Source organism: Homo sapiens, chromosome 2 (assembly GCF_000001405.40).
Source record: "Homo sapiens chromosome 2, GRCh38.p14 Primary Assembly".
Taxonomy (NCBI): Eukaryota; Metazoa; Chordata; class Mammalia; order Primates; family Hominidae; genus Homo; species Homo sapiens.
The window spans coordinates 206,547,504-206,561,825 of record NC_000002.12 but is presented as its reverse complement, the minus strand read 5'-3'; the positions used below and the strand labels follow the sequence as shown (position 1 = coordinate 206,561,825).

Sequence of the window (14,322 nt, the reverse complement as noted above, 5' to 3'; positions counted from 1 at the left end):
CTAATTGTAGGCTATTGAGATAACCTGGTATAATATATTTCAGTATTGACAAGAGTTTAGATATAATTGGTTATGCTTTTTGGGTGCTGTTACCAATTAAGAATTTCCTTTATAAAACTGAAAGTATTAAAATCTGAACAATGAGATTAAGGAAATAGGTGTTTGAGTTCATTCTACAGATAGGTAGGTAGAAGGCATGAAAATGAAAATATATACATAGGGAGAAAAAAACATACAGTACTGATATCAGAAATCCTTTGATTTTAATGAGTTAAATTTAACATAGACAGAGGAGCATTATAACAAAAAAAAAGTCAGAGAAGGATTAATAAGCTTATAAAAGCTTAACATCTTATCTATAGAGGCCTAAAAGTCTCCAGGCCAATCTTCAGCTGCATTTGCCTGATATATACGAAAAATTGTCATTATGACACCAAAATATGTCACTATGAACCAAAAGGACCACGTTGGGTTCTATTTATTAATAACATAAGCCACTCATGCTACATTTGCCATGTCATCATTCTAAACAAGCACGAGAAAGGATGTAAACTGGGCCATAGGGAAAAAAGAGAACAGATGCAAAGATGAAACTCTAATTGGTAAAATTTACCTCATTCACACCAACTCCTCTTGTGCGAGAACAGACACCTCCAAAGTAACTCAGACTGCTTCTCTTATAGTGAAATGTCACCCGCCTTAAGAAAAAGCAGTGCTATCAGAAAACCAACGTGGTGGACCATCATTTCATACTCTCCCAAAATATGTCTACCCTCCTACATGGAACACCCCCAAACCATCCTCCTCCAAGAAATCAAAAACTTTATTTCAACTACCTTAAAATTTATGACATAATTACCTTTAAATTTGTTATGTTACGTAATTTCAATTGAGCAAGCACCAAGTACCTACTAAGCATCATGTACTAGCACAGGAATTGAAAACACCAAGATAAACAGACACAGCTCTTGACTTTTTTCTAGTAGAGAATATCTAGCAGTGATTAAAAAGAATTAATATTGCTGATTATTAAAAATTGCTGATTAAAGACTGAAAAAACAGGAAGTCAACGGTAATGGTGGGAGGAAAAGAAGGAGTGGTTTGGTTGGTTTGATTCCAGGACAGAACCTTAGAGGACTATCTGAAAATAGCTTTGCCATGACTGGGGAAGAGAATAGCTTATTATATTAAAAAGAAAGTATAGAACCCTTTTTCCTTAGTAGTAGAAACTCAACTGAATAGTTCATCTAAAAGGACTACATTTTGCTAGCCTCTCTTGTAGCTAGGTGTGGCCCATGTGACTAACACCTAGCAAATGATTTGTTCATGAAACATACATGTGCAAGCTTTCAGGAAACCTGCTTTACAGCAGTCAGCTCGGCTGGAAGGAGTACCCTTTTGCCCTTCTCCCCACATGTCATGCCCGCTGCCAGTAATGAAGGCTGGAGGGCCAGCAGGCATCCTAGATTGTGAGTTGATCTTGAGGATGGAAGTTATGGGCTCTAAAGGTAGATATTGTGACTACAGAACCATCAGCATCCCAGCATGGGATATCCTAACTCCATGCTTCTTATCTAACAGACAAAGGAACCCACAGAAATCTTGTTCAAGTCACTATTTTCTGATATTTAACTTAACTGAACCAAAAAAGGGATAAGGATAAATGTCAGACCAAAGACTACACTAAAGGCTGAAATGAGTACGTACGAGATGAGGTGCACAGCATCAGCATGCTGCTTAATGCGCTGCCGGTATTTTGAGAACTCATGGAGCATCTGCACAGGGTTGGTGGTGATGTCAATCTGATCCTTCTCAGTCCAGGTCTCTACAGCCACCAGGACAACCCTGGTGTTGAGCTGCTCCTTGTAAATCTGAGGGTATACAACAGGACAGGTGCAGGAGGAAAACACTGGGTCAAACATGCACGATCAGTGAGTCAGAGTCAGTGGAAGGACAGGAAGGGGGAGGTGAGAGAACACGGGGTCATAATTAGCCCATTATAGAGAATCTTCTTTTCCTTTCTTTTTTCCAAGAGCAAAAATAAAGAAAGAACAATCACACAATTTGGTTTCAACTCTCCTATAGGGTTATTTCGATCCCAGAGCAATACATTCACTGTCCTAGGGAGAGACAGTAAGGATTCCAAAGCCAGGGCATAAATTTAAAACATCGTTCAGTAAAATCACCCTTTCAAATCTCATAGCAGGTAACAGGTTGGAGCCTGATATACCAGTTCTGAGTAACCGCAGTGCAACAATTTATTCCTGCTGGATTGGAATGAATCACTAAATCTCCAGATAAGCACCAAACAATATAGCTGGCTTACCCTTGGAGGTCATATTATATGAAAAGTAAAATAACATTGGGAGAGAGAGAGACTCAAGGATCTGAGGCTAAAAAAGAGCAGATCCCTATCACTCATCTCATCCTCACCACTGGGTGGCATCACCCACAATATTTAAATTGTTCCCTTTCTGCTCTCTCTCTATTTTTGGCCCAGTAGCTAAACAATTCACACAATTAAGCAACTTCAATGAATGCTGTCATTTTGCCCTGTTTTCAAACTAATTAAGAAAACAATGGGCCAGGCGCGGTAGCTCACGCCTGTAATCCCAGCACTTTGGAAGGCCGAGGCGGGTGCTTCACAGGGTCAGGAGATCAAGACCATCCTGGCTAACACGGTGAAACCCCGTCTCTACTAAAAATACAAAAAATTAGCCAAGTGTGATGGTGGGCGCCTGTAGTCCCAGCTACTCGGGAGGCTGAGGCAGGAGAATGGCGTGAACCTGGGAGGCGGAGCTTGCAGTGAGCTGAGATCGTGCCACTGCACTCCAGCCTGGGCAACAGAGCAAGACTCTGTCTCAAAGAAAAACAAACAAACAAACAAACAAACAAACAAACAAAAACCAATGGATGATCTTTGAACACACTGAAGAAGGGGAACACCATTATGCCTAAATCAAATTGAAGCTATTATATAATGACTTTACAACAAAAACAAGTTAAATGTAATGTCTTTTAAAAATTAGTGGTCAGCTTCAGAACCTTATGTGGTAACCCAAAATAAAAATTACACTTTGCATGATGTAACTCTATTCAATCATGTTGAAATGACTAATTCAGAGATGCTACCAAGTAAACAGCTTTTGCAGAGGAAAAGATGTGGTTAAGATTCTCTTTTCCACATTCACTTGTGGTTTTCCTCTGAGAAGATAAACAAGAGCTGAAATTAAAGAAAATTAATAAACCAGGTGTAAATTGGCACTGAGATGCTATCCTAACTCTATATGAGATACTCGACGCACATCCACTCATGTTATAGTTTTGTGCAGCTGTGCCCACCAGGTACATAACATACATATGTTATGAATATTTACATGATTGGAGGTTTGTGGACTGCTTAAAAGGCAGAAAAGAAGGCAGCTCTTTGGAGTAAATAAGTATCATTTAGATATTTGGCAACTTATAAAAAATGGTGGGGTTTTTTTCGCATTTAAGAAGGAACACACAATAAAATACCCGATAAAAATATATTTAGCTAAGCAAAATAGCACTTTACATTACAACATATGGAGTAATATTCTATATTTAATTTCTGACTAGTCAACTTAAATATTCATTGGAACATAATATATAATGTTCATATCTATAGAGTTCTAACCTAAGGCAGGAAAAAGGCAGAAAATCTTAAGCATTTTCTGTAATTCACAAAATAAGTGAGGAAAACATATCAATATTGAAGATTTGTACAGTTAGAAGTCTTTGTAAGGAGATACATATTTTATTCTTCCAAATTAGTTTTATTTGGGGACTGCACTTATTTCCATCATCTAGAAATCAAGTATGAAATATCACACCAATGGGAACACTAAGAAAATATATTTGTGTCCTTAAAAAAATTTTTTTTGGTATTACCTATATTCTCCAAACATACTCTGCTTCAATCCATTTTTTCTTCTCTGTTACCACCATATATTTAAGAAAAGCCCAGTTGTTTCTTTAAAAAGTCTCATTTGCCAGTATAATAGCAAATAGATTTTGGTAGCTATTTCTCCACTGTTTTTGTCCTCCACAGACTGGGGGCAATAATGTATAGACGCAACTTAGAAGCAACACTAATGTATCTTTGGGATTCCGGGAATAACTCAGTCATCTGAAACTCTCAGAGCACTACTCTGTGAAGCGGACCATCCTATAATTCCTTAGCCAGATGAGCTTCAGGATTGTGTTTTTAAATTTGTTCAAGAAATACCTAAAGTACAAGTAAGCAAATAGAGATAAACCATTCCATCTTGGCACACAAATTCAAGAAAACCAGGATACTTACAGAATCCACAAGGTTGACCACGGACTTTGCAAAGTTGTTGGTATGTGCATGAGAAGAGCGATGCTTCTTATACTAGGGGGGAAATACATACCAGTCACTGCCAAATCATAAGTGAATAATAAATTTCAAAATGCTGTAAAAGCAGAAATATCTCAGTAATAGTAGAAATATGGATTTAAAAATATATAATTTAGTTTGTGGTATACTGGATTTGGTGGTGTTACTTCTCTGTTAGGTGGCAAAACTCTGACTATCTAAAACATGATGTTAGCTGGGCAGCATGGCTCACAACTGTAATCCCAACACTTTGGCAGGTGGAGGCTGGAGGACTGCTTGAGGCCAGGGATTTGAGACCAGCCTAAGCAACACAGTGAGATCCTGTCTTTACAAAATTTTTTTCAAAAAAAAACAAAAAAACCTACGATGTTCTGAATAATAGTAAGGACCTATAGAAATCGATATGAGAAGCTTTATACCTAAAAAGTAAGTTTTAAATTTAGTCTTAATGTCTACAAATTCAATCCTTTTGTTTTCATTGAAATGACATTTTGTAGCTTATACAAACGGCTTAACCCACTTGTCTCACTTTAAATTCAAGGCCACGCACAGATCAAGAAAATGTCTTTGTCAGTGCTTTAGATACTGTCCATGATATGGACAGCATTTGCCAGGCATTTAGTATATCCTTTCAGAGGAATGCCTCCTCCAAATGAAGCCATTTGCTTTTGACTGCTCAAAGTCAAAACAAAGAGAAGACAAAAAGTAAAAATGAAGTGTGCTGAGAGTTTATGATTGTTTATGTTTATTTAAGAAATAAAGAAAAGTAAATTAATAGAGTAATTCTACAATGACATCTGGAGGGCTACGTTTTTAGCAAGGAGTAGTACGCTTTGCTTAATGTCTTCAAGAGGACATTTGAAAACTGGTCTACCATAGGAAAATCATGCCCTCTACTGGTCCATGAGGTTATTATTTCTACAACACTAAGGAAAACAAAACCTACTTAAAACCACAGACTCAGATTTGCACAAGTCTTTGAAATTTACCTTCAATTATAATTATGAAAATAATGCATCTTTCATAAAGATTCAAAATATTTCTACATTAGAAAATTCTTTTATTTGTCCTTTGCCCATTCGCACCCTATATATAACTTTTGTCAGATTCCCTTCATTTCATTCTATCTGTGACTATGTTTTTTAAACAAAGAATATATATCTCAATGTTTACATATCTAATGTTTATTTTTTATAACAACAAAAACACTGATTACCCATAATAAATGCTAAATAAATTAATATTCTGCTATTATTATAGTATTCATGAATACATAACTGTTGGTATAATATTACTATTACTGTTCATGTTATTGCCACTACTGTACATCATAATCTGACCCAAACTGTCTATATTTGTGTTCTTTTAAAGTAAACTGTAATGTGTGCATATAACTGGGTCATAAAACATCCTATTAATCTGAAATTATTCAGGCATTATAACACATTTTGTAAACTTGGCATAAAGAAGTTTCTATAGATAGCTCAGCATTTTAAGTTGCCTAGCAAATTCCACAAGCTGAAAACTTTCCAAGATACACTTAAGAGTAAAAGGAAAAATATTAACATTAAGTTCCTCTGGGATGATGAAAATGTTCTAGTTCCACTGAATTGTGGATTGAAAGAGAAAACATTAGCTGATATCTATTCTTCTAATGCAGTGGTGTTACACACCTATTAAGATGAATTTTAGTTTGCTTCTGAGTATTAATTTGTTATTTTATTGAGATTTCTTTTTATAGCATAATGATCACGGAAAACATGACAAGTTTTAAAACATTTCAAGTTTTAAAAATTAATAAAATGAGGTATTTTAAAAGTCTATCAAAATGTAATGTTTTAAATTTATTTCATATTTGTAATTTTCAATCCTCTGATTTTCTTTTTAGAAAAATTATTTTGCCTGTCATTGTTATGTAAATTAGAGAGTGCCAAGAATGGAAACAGAGATACCTGTTGGGAAGCTACTGCAATAGTCCAGGTAAGAGATAATGGAGGCTAAACAACTGTAGAGAGAAGTGAATTCAAGTACCACTACGAGGGTAGAGCTCCCACGACTGGATGATGTATAGGATGTGGAAGGTGAGGAAAGAGAAGAATTAAAAGATAACTCCTAGGTTTTGAACTTGAATGGATGGGGGATTGTGGTGCCACTTAAAATAATAAGAGAGACTAGAAGAAGAGAAGTTTAGGACTAGGGAACTAAGAGTTCTGATTCAGAAGTTCTATTCAAATCAACACTAAAATAGAGATATCAAATAGGCAGTTCTGTATATGAGCACAGAACTTAAGGGGCTAGAGCTAAAAGTAGGGAATAACGAGTTTAAAGTCATGATCCCACTTAAAGACTTGAGGCTGCAAGTTGTTACTTAGGTAGAGAGTATACAAAGAGAAAAGAGCCCTGAACCAAGCCCTGCGGCACTCACATAATTCCAGAGGTCAGATTTTAAAGACTAGGAAGAAATAGCCAGTGAGGTGAGAGAGCTACCACGTCATAGAAGCCAAGAGATGAAATAAAATTTTCAAAAAAAGAGGGTAATCAACTGTGTCCAATATTGCTGAGAGAGTAAGACAAGGACAGAACAATGACCACTAGATTTGTTAACTTGAAGTGCCATTTAATTGGACACCTAGGGTTTAGTAGAAACTGTAAGTGTTTCGCCTAAAACAAATATTTGCTCCTCACAACTCTATGAGGTGGGTTTTATTATCCCCAAATAACTTACTCAAGATCACACAGCTAGAATTTAAATCCTTCTAGTCTCTAGGTTGAGGGAGGAGGTAAGCTGGTTCAGTTAACAATTCCTATTAAATAGTTTATATATATTCCTAACAAATCATGATTATTAATGAAAACTCAAAATTTGTTAGGTGTATATAAAATGTAGTGGTTTTTAAGTAAGGAAAACCAAGTGAGGTTTAAATTGAAAAATATTTAAATTATCCTCACATATTTACATTTATTGACGCATAGTTAAGTATGTAGCAAAACACGTACGCAAAACATTTGCTTTTCATGCACTTTATGCACTTTAAAAAATCTCAACCAATTTTCTATTAGAATAAGATTTTTAATATTTATTTTTAACTTAAGCAGCTCAAAGACATGTTTGCAGACTCTTATCAAGGCTATAATTGGCTTGCAAATGAGGTTCCACCAGCCAGGTACTAAGATACTTTTTACCAAATTGAGGGATTTTTCTTTTCTAATGGAAAGCCACTGATAATGTGATACCTATTGAAAATAAGATATCTGCATTTTTTTCAGGCAGCCAACGTTAAATCACTCTGAATTAAAGGGATAAGCTTGAATGCAAATGTAGGCAGAATGTTTCTATTTCCTGCATGAATTAGAACTAATTTTGCATATAAAGAAAAATATGCAATCACCATTTATAACAAAACTTACTTTCACATTTCTGATCAGTTTAAAACAATCTTTATTTAAAATGGTTGCTTTTCCTTCCTGAACACATGCAATCCTTAAGAAAACTGTCTTTTGAAAAAAAATAAGATTAGAATTTGGTTTTTCAACCCGAAGGTGAGAATTATCAAAATAACTATTCTGGATCGTATAGTATAAAGATTGTAAGATGAGTACTCTCAGTGAGATGATTATCCTAAAGCCCAGCAGCAAATCCCCACATATTCAGAAATAAATGTATTAATTATTCTAGTTCAGTTTGACTTTCAACATGTGAATTTAAGTACTTTGATCCAGTAAGTTCTGATATACTACTGAAGTGGCAATCAAATTTAAAAACAACCTTCATCTCATAGAAAGCATACCTCAAAAAATTTTTTTCAGCTCTCAAAAAAAAAATTCTTATAAAATGTCATACGTATTTGGGACTATTATGGATTAGAATGTAACTCTGTCTTAAAGCAAAAGGAATATATTTAGTTCTATTAGCCAAGAAGTACTATTTCTTTAAATAGTAGAAATCTTAGGCAATTTCTATTTTAGGCATTATTACCACTCAAAAATAAAAGCTTTCCTCTTTTTTGAGACGGAGTCTCACTCTGTCGCCCAGGCTGGAGTGCAGTGGTGCAATCTTGGCTCAGTGCAACCTCCACCTCCCGGGTTCAATCAATTCTCCTGTCTCAGCCTCCCAAGTAGCTGAGATTACAGGTAAATGTCACCACCTCCGGCTAATTTTTTAATTTTTTTTGTATATGTATATGTGTATGTATATGTGTGTGTGTGTATATATATATTTATATTTTAGTAGAAATGGGGTTTCACCATGTTGGCCAGGCTGGTCTCGAACTCCTTACCTCAAGTGATCCACACGCCTTGGACTCCCAAAGTGCTGCGATTATAGGCGTGAGCCACCACACGCGGCCTTTTTTTCCTTTTTAAACATCGATTCCCTCTAAATTTATCAGTACAAATTACAATTCTTTTTCCTTGTTTCAAAAACTGATGACCATATCATACCTACTTCTCACCCATTTTAATAATAGTAATAATAGGCCAGGCATGGTGGTTCACGCCAGCAATTCCAGCACTTTCGGAGGTTGAAGCAGACAGATCACTTGAGTCCAGGAGCTCAACACCAGCCTAGGCAATATGGCGAAACCCAGTTTCTACAAAAAAAAAAAATACAAAAAATAGCCAGGCATGGTCATATGCACCTATAGTCCCAGCTACTCGGGAGGCTGAAATGGGAGGATCACTTGAGCTGCGGAGGCGCAGGTTGCGCCGAGATGAGATTGGATCACTGTACTCCAGCCTGGGTGACAGAGTGAGAACCTATCTCAAAATAATAACAATAATAATAATAATACTAACAACAATAATAAAATGAATTATTAAAATTTACCCTTAAAAGATTTGATAGCCTAAATAAGGAACTCTATCACAGAACATGTGACATGGTGTGTAGAAATTTTCTACATATAAAATAATATTTTAAGAAGTATGCTATTTTATTATTCATAAGAATAAGGTTATTTAAATGTTTACCATTGAGAAGGGTTAAAAAATAAATTCAAAAAATATGCTGTTTTAACAATTACCAAAAAACTATAACTGTTTAATTGTAATTAACACTTAGTAGTAACTGTTTCCTATTTTGCACAGTTACTGAGATTTGCTCTTTTGATTGATAGCTTCATGTACTTTCCTGATATATTATGGTAGAACAAGAGATTTGGAATTGCAAGTAAAGGTTTGAGAACAGATTCTATAGATTAACAGCTATTTGAGAATGCACTTTGTGCATTCAAAGACATTGAATATATCTTAATTATTATTTCTACTACTCTAAAAGTATTTATATAATGGATGTTGAAAAAAGCTTAGGCTTCAAAAGCCATAATTTCACAACATGCCACAATGCTCAAGATTGAGAATCAGCTGGGAAAAAAAATCTCAATGTTCCAATCAACAAAAATAATTCAGATAAAAAAACTATCTTGGGGTTTCAAGCAAATTAAAGTCCTTCAGAAACTCATATTTTAGCCTTTACTGTCTAAAATGACTGCCTACACATCTGGCTTTCCTTTCCACCAAAAAGGACCTCTCTTAAATTATATGTGTTCTGATAAATTTTGCTTCTTACTAACATCTCAAGCAATATATTTAAAGGCAACTGGAACAGAAAATAAATGTGTATACAAAAGTAAGAGGTATTCTATTGATATTCAACACAATTAAACTGATAGTTAATGGAAAACATCCATTAAAGTAGAAACTTAAAAGTTTAAATATAAATTAAGTCACTATTTTTTTAAATTTCTAGTTTCAAGGCATTCTCTGAGTAGGGCCAGCTAATTAGAATTTCACATCATTTTAGCATGAAGCACAACCTTATCATACCATGTACTAATCTAATTTTGGTTTCCTTAAAGTAAAACAAAGACTTAAAGATAATTCCAAAGCAATTTCAATTTTTGTTCCAATCTTTCATAAGTTTGTCACCAATACCTGATTTCTATGCATTTTTTAAAAGATTCTCATCTATATAAAGTCTTTTCAGAAGTGCAACTTTGTTTTGATAAAACAAGTACTTTTTGCCTTAGAGTTTACAACTTTTAAAGTTCAATCACATAACTACAACAGAGATTACAATTGGCCTAAACAGTCTGGGGAGTGTGGCAGTGGTTGCTGGAGCCAGCTCCCATCAGATCCCGAGAGCCAACTAGATACATCCTCTCCTAACTCCTCATCAGTGATCTCACTTTGATAGCTTGAAATCAGCTATGGTGGCAATATTTACACCACAGATATCAGCAAACATTATAAATCAAGAGAGCTAGGTATTAAAATTTACCAGCACACCACTAGTATTGGGTGTACTAGTATATAGCCTACTGACCAAGACTCTTCTGGGCTTCAGGCAAGTAATTTTATAAAGGAAACGGTTAAGTATAGTTAACGGAGTTTCTATTGTATCTTCAAGAGGGGAAAATGAGGAACAATGAATGTTTTTCATATATCTTTTAAGTGTTACTGAAATGACATATTCAATCACATTTTACTGCCACAGAAGTTAACACGAGATTATTCATCTTTCCAATATTTAAAGACGATAAGTCGCCGGGCGCGGTGGCTCACGCCTGTAATCCCAGCACTTTGGGAGGCCGAGGCAGGCGGATCACGAGGTCAGGAGATCGAGACCATCCTCGCTAAGGCGGTGAAACCCCGTCTCTACTAAAAATACAAAAAATTAGCCGGGCGTAGTGGCGGGCGCCTGTAGTCCCAGCTACTCGGGAGGCTGAGGCAGGAGAATAGCGTGAACCCGGGAGGCGGAGCTTGCAGTGAGCCGAGATCGCGCCACTGTACTCCAGGCTGGGCGACAGAGCGAGACTCCGTCTCACAAAAAAAAAAAAAAAAAAGACGATAAGTCATCAAAGATATTCACTTTAGATAAACCTTTATTTTATATGTTTGCCTCCTACAATTGTATCTACCATAAGCATAATTAACTAGTAAGAAAAAATAACATATTAGCAGGACAAAAGCACGGAATAAAATTAGAAAGCAGTGACCAAATACATAGATGAAGAAAAGTAGAGAATAAGAATTTTAAATGAAGACAAAAGATGCCAGATAGCTAAATCTATTAATTATAATTATTAAATGTAAGGAAAGTTTAGAGTTGTGAAAATTCTATAAAACTCAGAGTCTCCAAACACCGACAAATAAATCAAGTCACTTAATATGTCTGAATATCTTGGGGTTAATAAGTAAAAAATAATGATTAACTATAAAGTAAAATGTATTCTTTCTTAAGTAAGCTATCTGTTCTAAAACCCACTGACTCTATATTCTTACCGTTTTGTGATCATTAACAATCATAAGTTCCAAATATTTCATTTCTTCAAATATACCACGTGATGGCTACGGAAAATAAAAATATATGGTCAGAATAGTGATTGACATAAAATCTCTCTAGTGCTCACTGTTAAGTTGTAGATAAGACTTTGAATTTCAGAACAACTCTCTGCTGCCTACTTTATAAACACCTTAGAAGAAAGTTGGTCAGGCAAATTTTAAAAAGTGATCATAAAATATGGGTACATATTCAAGTATTTAGAAAATAACTGTATTTTATTATCATTAAGGTACTTACTTATCAACATAGAAAACAGTCCATGTTGTTGTATATGGTTTTTATATGTAAAAATATTCTAGAGAAAAATTATAGCATAATTATGTTAAAATAAATAAATCTCAATTTCACATTAAAATGTGATAAAATATTCATATTTACTTAAAACGTCAATGAAAATCTATGTAAAACTCATTTAATAAGAATAGCATAAGTTATAATTACTTCCAGATATATCTGATACAGATATCAATGTAGTTAAATAGAAACATTAACTCACTCGAGTGAAATTCTAAAAATAATATGCTAATTCTTAACTGCTCAATTTCTCAAAGGAAAAAATATTGGCAATTATTACAGTCTAAAGTCTTCTAAATTAACTAGATAATTCTTTAAGAGTAAGTATTTTAGCCTTCATTTGGACTTTTATTTCTTTTTCATAGTTGGAAAATTATAATAGTGGCTCTTTTTTCTTTATGTACATAGTCATTGATCACTTTATATTTGATGAGGTGGACTGTAGGGAAAGAACAGCAGCCATTGTAAAACATATTATTACCAACCACATCTTTATGAATGAGCTAAAAGAGATCTAATAATAATTTATATAATATATAATAAATGTATCCATAATTATCATAAGAGTTTCATAAAAGGGAGGAAAATTTAAACTGGAACTAAGTTTTTGATGGCTGGTGGTCTATTTTTTTCACAAAAAAAATACACTCAGCAAAACATTATCTAAAATGTGCAATTTCTACTATAGTTACTCATTAAGTTATCTAGTAAATTACCATGTAATGTATAAGCTGTGGAATTAATTCTCAGTTACATAGCATTCACCATGTAATTACTAAACAGTCCCCATCATTACAGCTTTCTAGCCTATTATGAAAAGACCAGAAACATAATTTCAATTACAAAGCCCCTATACGTTTATCAATACATGTGAAGTATATAACAGTAGTTGATTATACAATTACATGATTTTTATTTAGAAACTGTTATATTGCTAATAGTCAAATAAATTCATTGTGTTCTGAAAAACACATACAGCTTTAAAGTTTGGTGTAACAGAGTTTTTAATCTGAAAGTAATATAAATATGTATGATTAGCCAACATTTCAAAACCTAACTCCTCTCTCTAGATTTTTTATTAACAGAAATGTTTTATATGACACTATATAAGCCATATAGAAAGAAAAGTCTGCTGTACTTTAAATAGAAAATAAAACGCACTGCAATTATCATCAGAAAACACGTAGAAAACAGAGCTAAAACAACACGTTCTTTAGATGACGTCAGGGTTCAGAGACTACCGTAATCAGTTTGAATCACTAACAGAAAGAGATCAATAAAAAGCAGTGTGTTAAGGCTCAAATCATAGGGTTTTTTGTTTATTGTTTTCATTTTTAAACAACAGTCCCCAAAATCTGAACTGTTTTAGGTACACTTAGATAATGTGGGGTGATAGGCACATGACTTCATTGAGTAAAATAGGCCCACCCAAGGCTCAATGCCACACTCACATTCACTGCTCTCTTCCTTCTTTTCAACCACTGTAATTCAGAGAGAAAGGGCCACTGGTCACCTCTTTCCATAGCTGCAGAAAGGAAAAATTAGTATCAAAATTTTATGCTTATTTCAATGGGAGTATGTTTTAAAATATTACATGAAGAAACAGTGGCACTGATAATATATGTCAAACTAAGGTGAAAAAAAGCACACTGATCATTATATATTTCACACTCTCATGACCACAAAGATAGTTCAAATGTAATTTTGTCCCAAACATCAAGAAAACATAATGTTCAAGATTCATTAGAAGATGCATATTTGATATAAAACCACTTGACAATATCTGAAAATTTGACAGAGTTCTACTATGTCTAATTCATTTTAGCATTCAAAATAATGTATGGCATTAGCTTTTGCATAAATTATTAAAGACTTTTAGCAGTAATATACAGAAATAAAATCACATGCCCCAACAATCAAAAAGAAGCTTCTTCCAACATTAGCACACTTAAGATGTGTCTGGAGCAGAGCATGAGAGGGAGGCAATCCAAGCTGGCTCAAGAGCAGCAAACTGCCAGGAAGATTTCAGGATGAACCTCACTGTAAATCACTGTACTAAATTTGACCACACTTTCTGGTTCCCAAGGCAGCTTTACTCAAAGTCTTCATGTTTTAGTCTGCACTGGAAATGACTCTCCATGCCTCTTTACACAAGAGCCACCACTCATTCCAGTGCTGATCCACGATGTTCACCCCTGATATCAGACCAATTCCACTTCCAACAAGCCTGCATATCTACTGAGCTCCACCAGATAAAAGCTCATACTACATAAAATATAATCGCTATTTTTAGTTAAAACTT

The 14,322-nt window shown here is 34.5% G+C and overlaps 1 protein-coding gene across 3 annotated transcripts in view; it reads right to left on the bottom strand.

The window, feature by feature from the left end:
• The window catches only part of ADAM23 (ADAM metallopeptidase domain 23), a 177,596-nt gene that overhangs the window by 59,302 nt on the left and 103,972 nt on the right, over window positions 1-14,322 (bottom strand). For all 3 annotated transcript variants that reach the window (NM_001410985.1, NM_003812.4, XM_005246932.4), the window contains exons 8-12: window positions 13,472-13,545; window positions 11,666-11,731; window positions 4,328-4,399; window positions 1,708-1,871; window positions 614-698 (exon numbers count right to left, since the gene is read on the bottom strand). In NM_001410985.1, coding sequence (NP_001397914.1) covers window positions 614-698; window positions 1,708-1,871; window positions 4,328-4,399; window positions 11,666-11,731; window positions 13,472-13,545 — 461 coding nt within the window. The remainder of the gene's footprint in view (window positions 1-613; window positions 699-1,707; window positions 1,872-4,327; window positions 4,400-11,665; window positions 11,732-13,471; window positions 13,546-14,322) is intronic.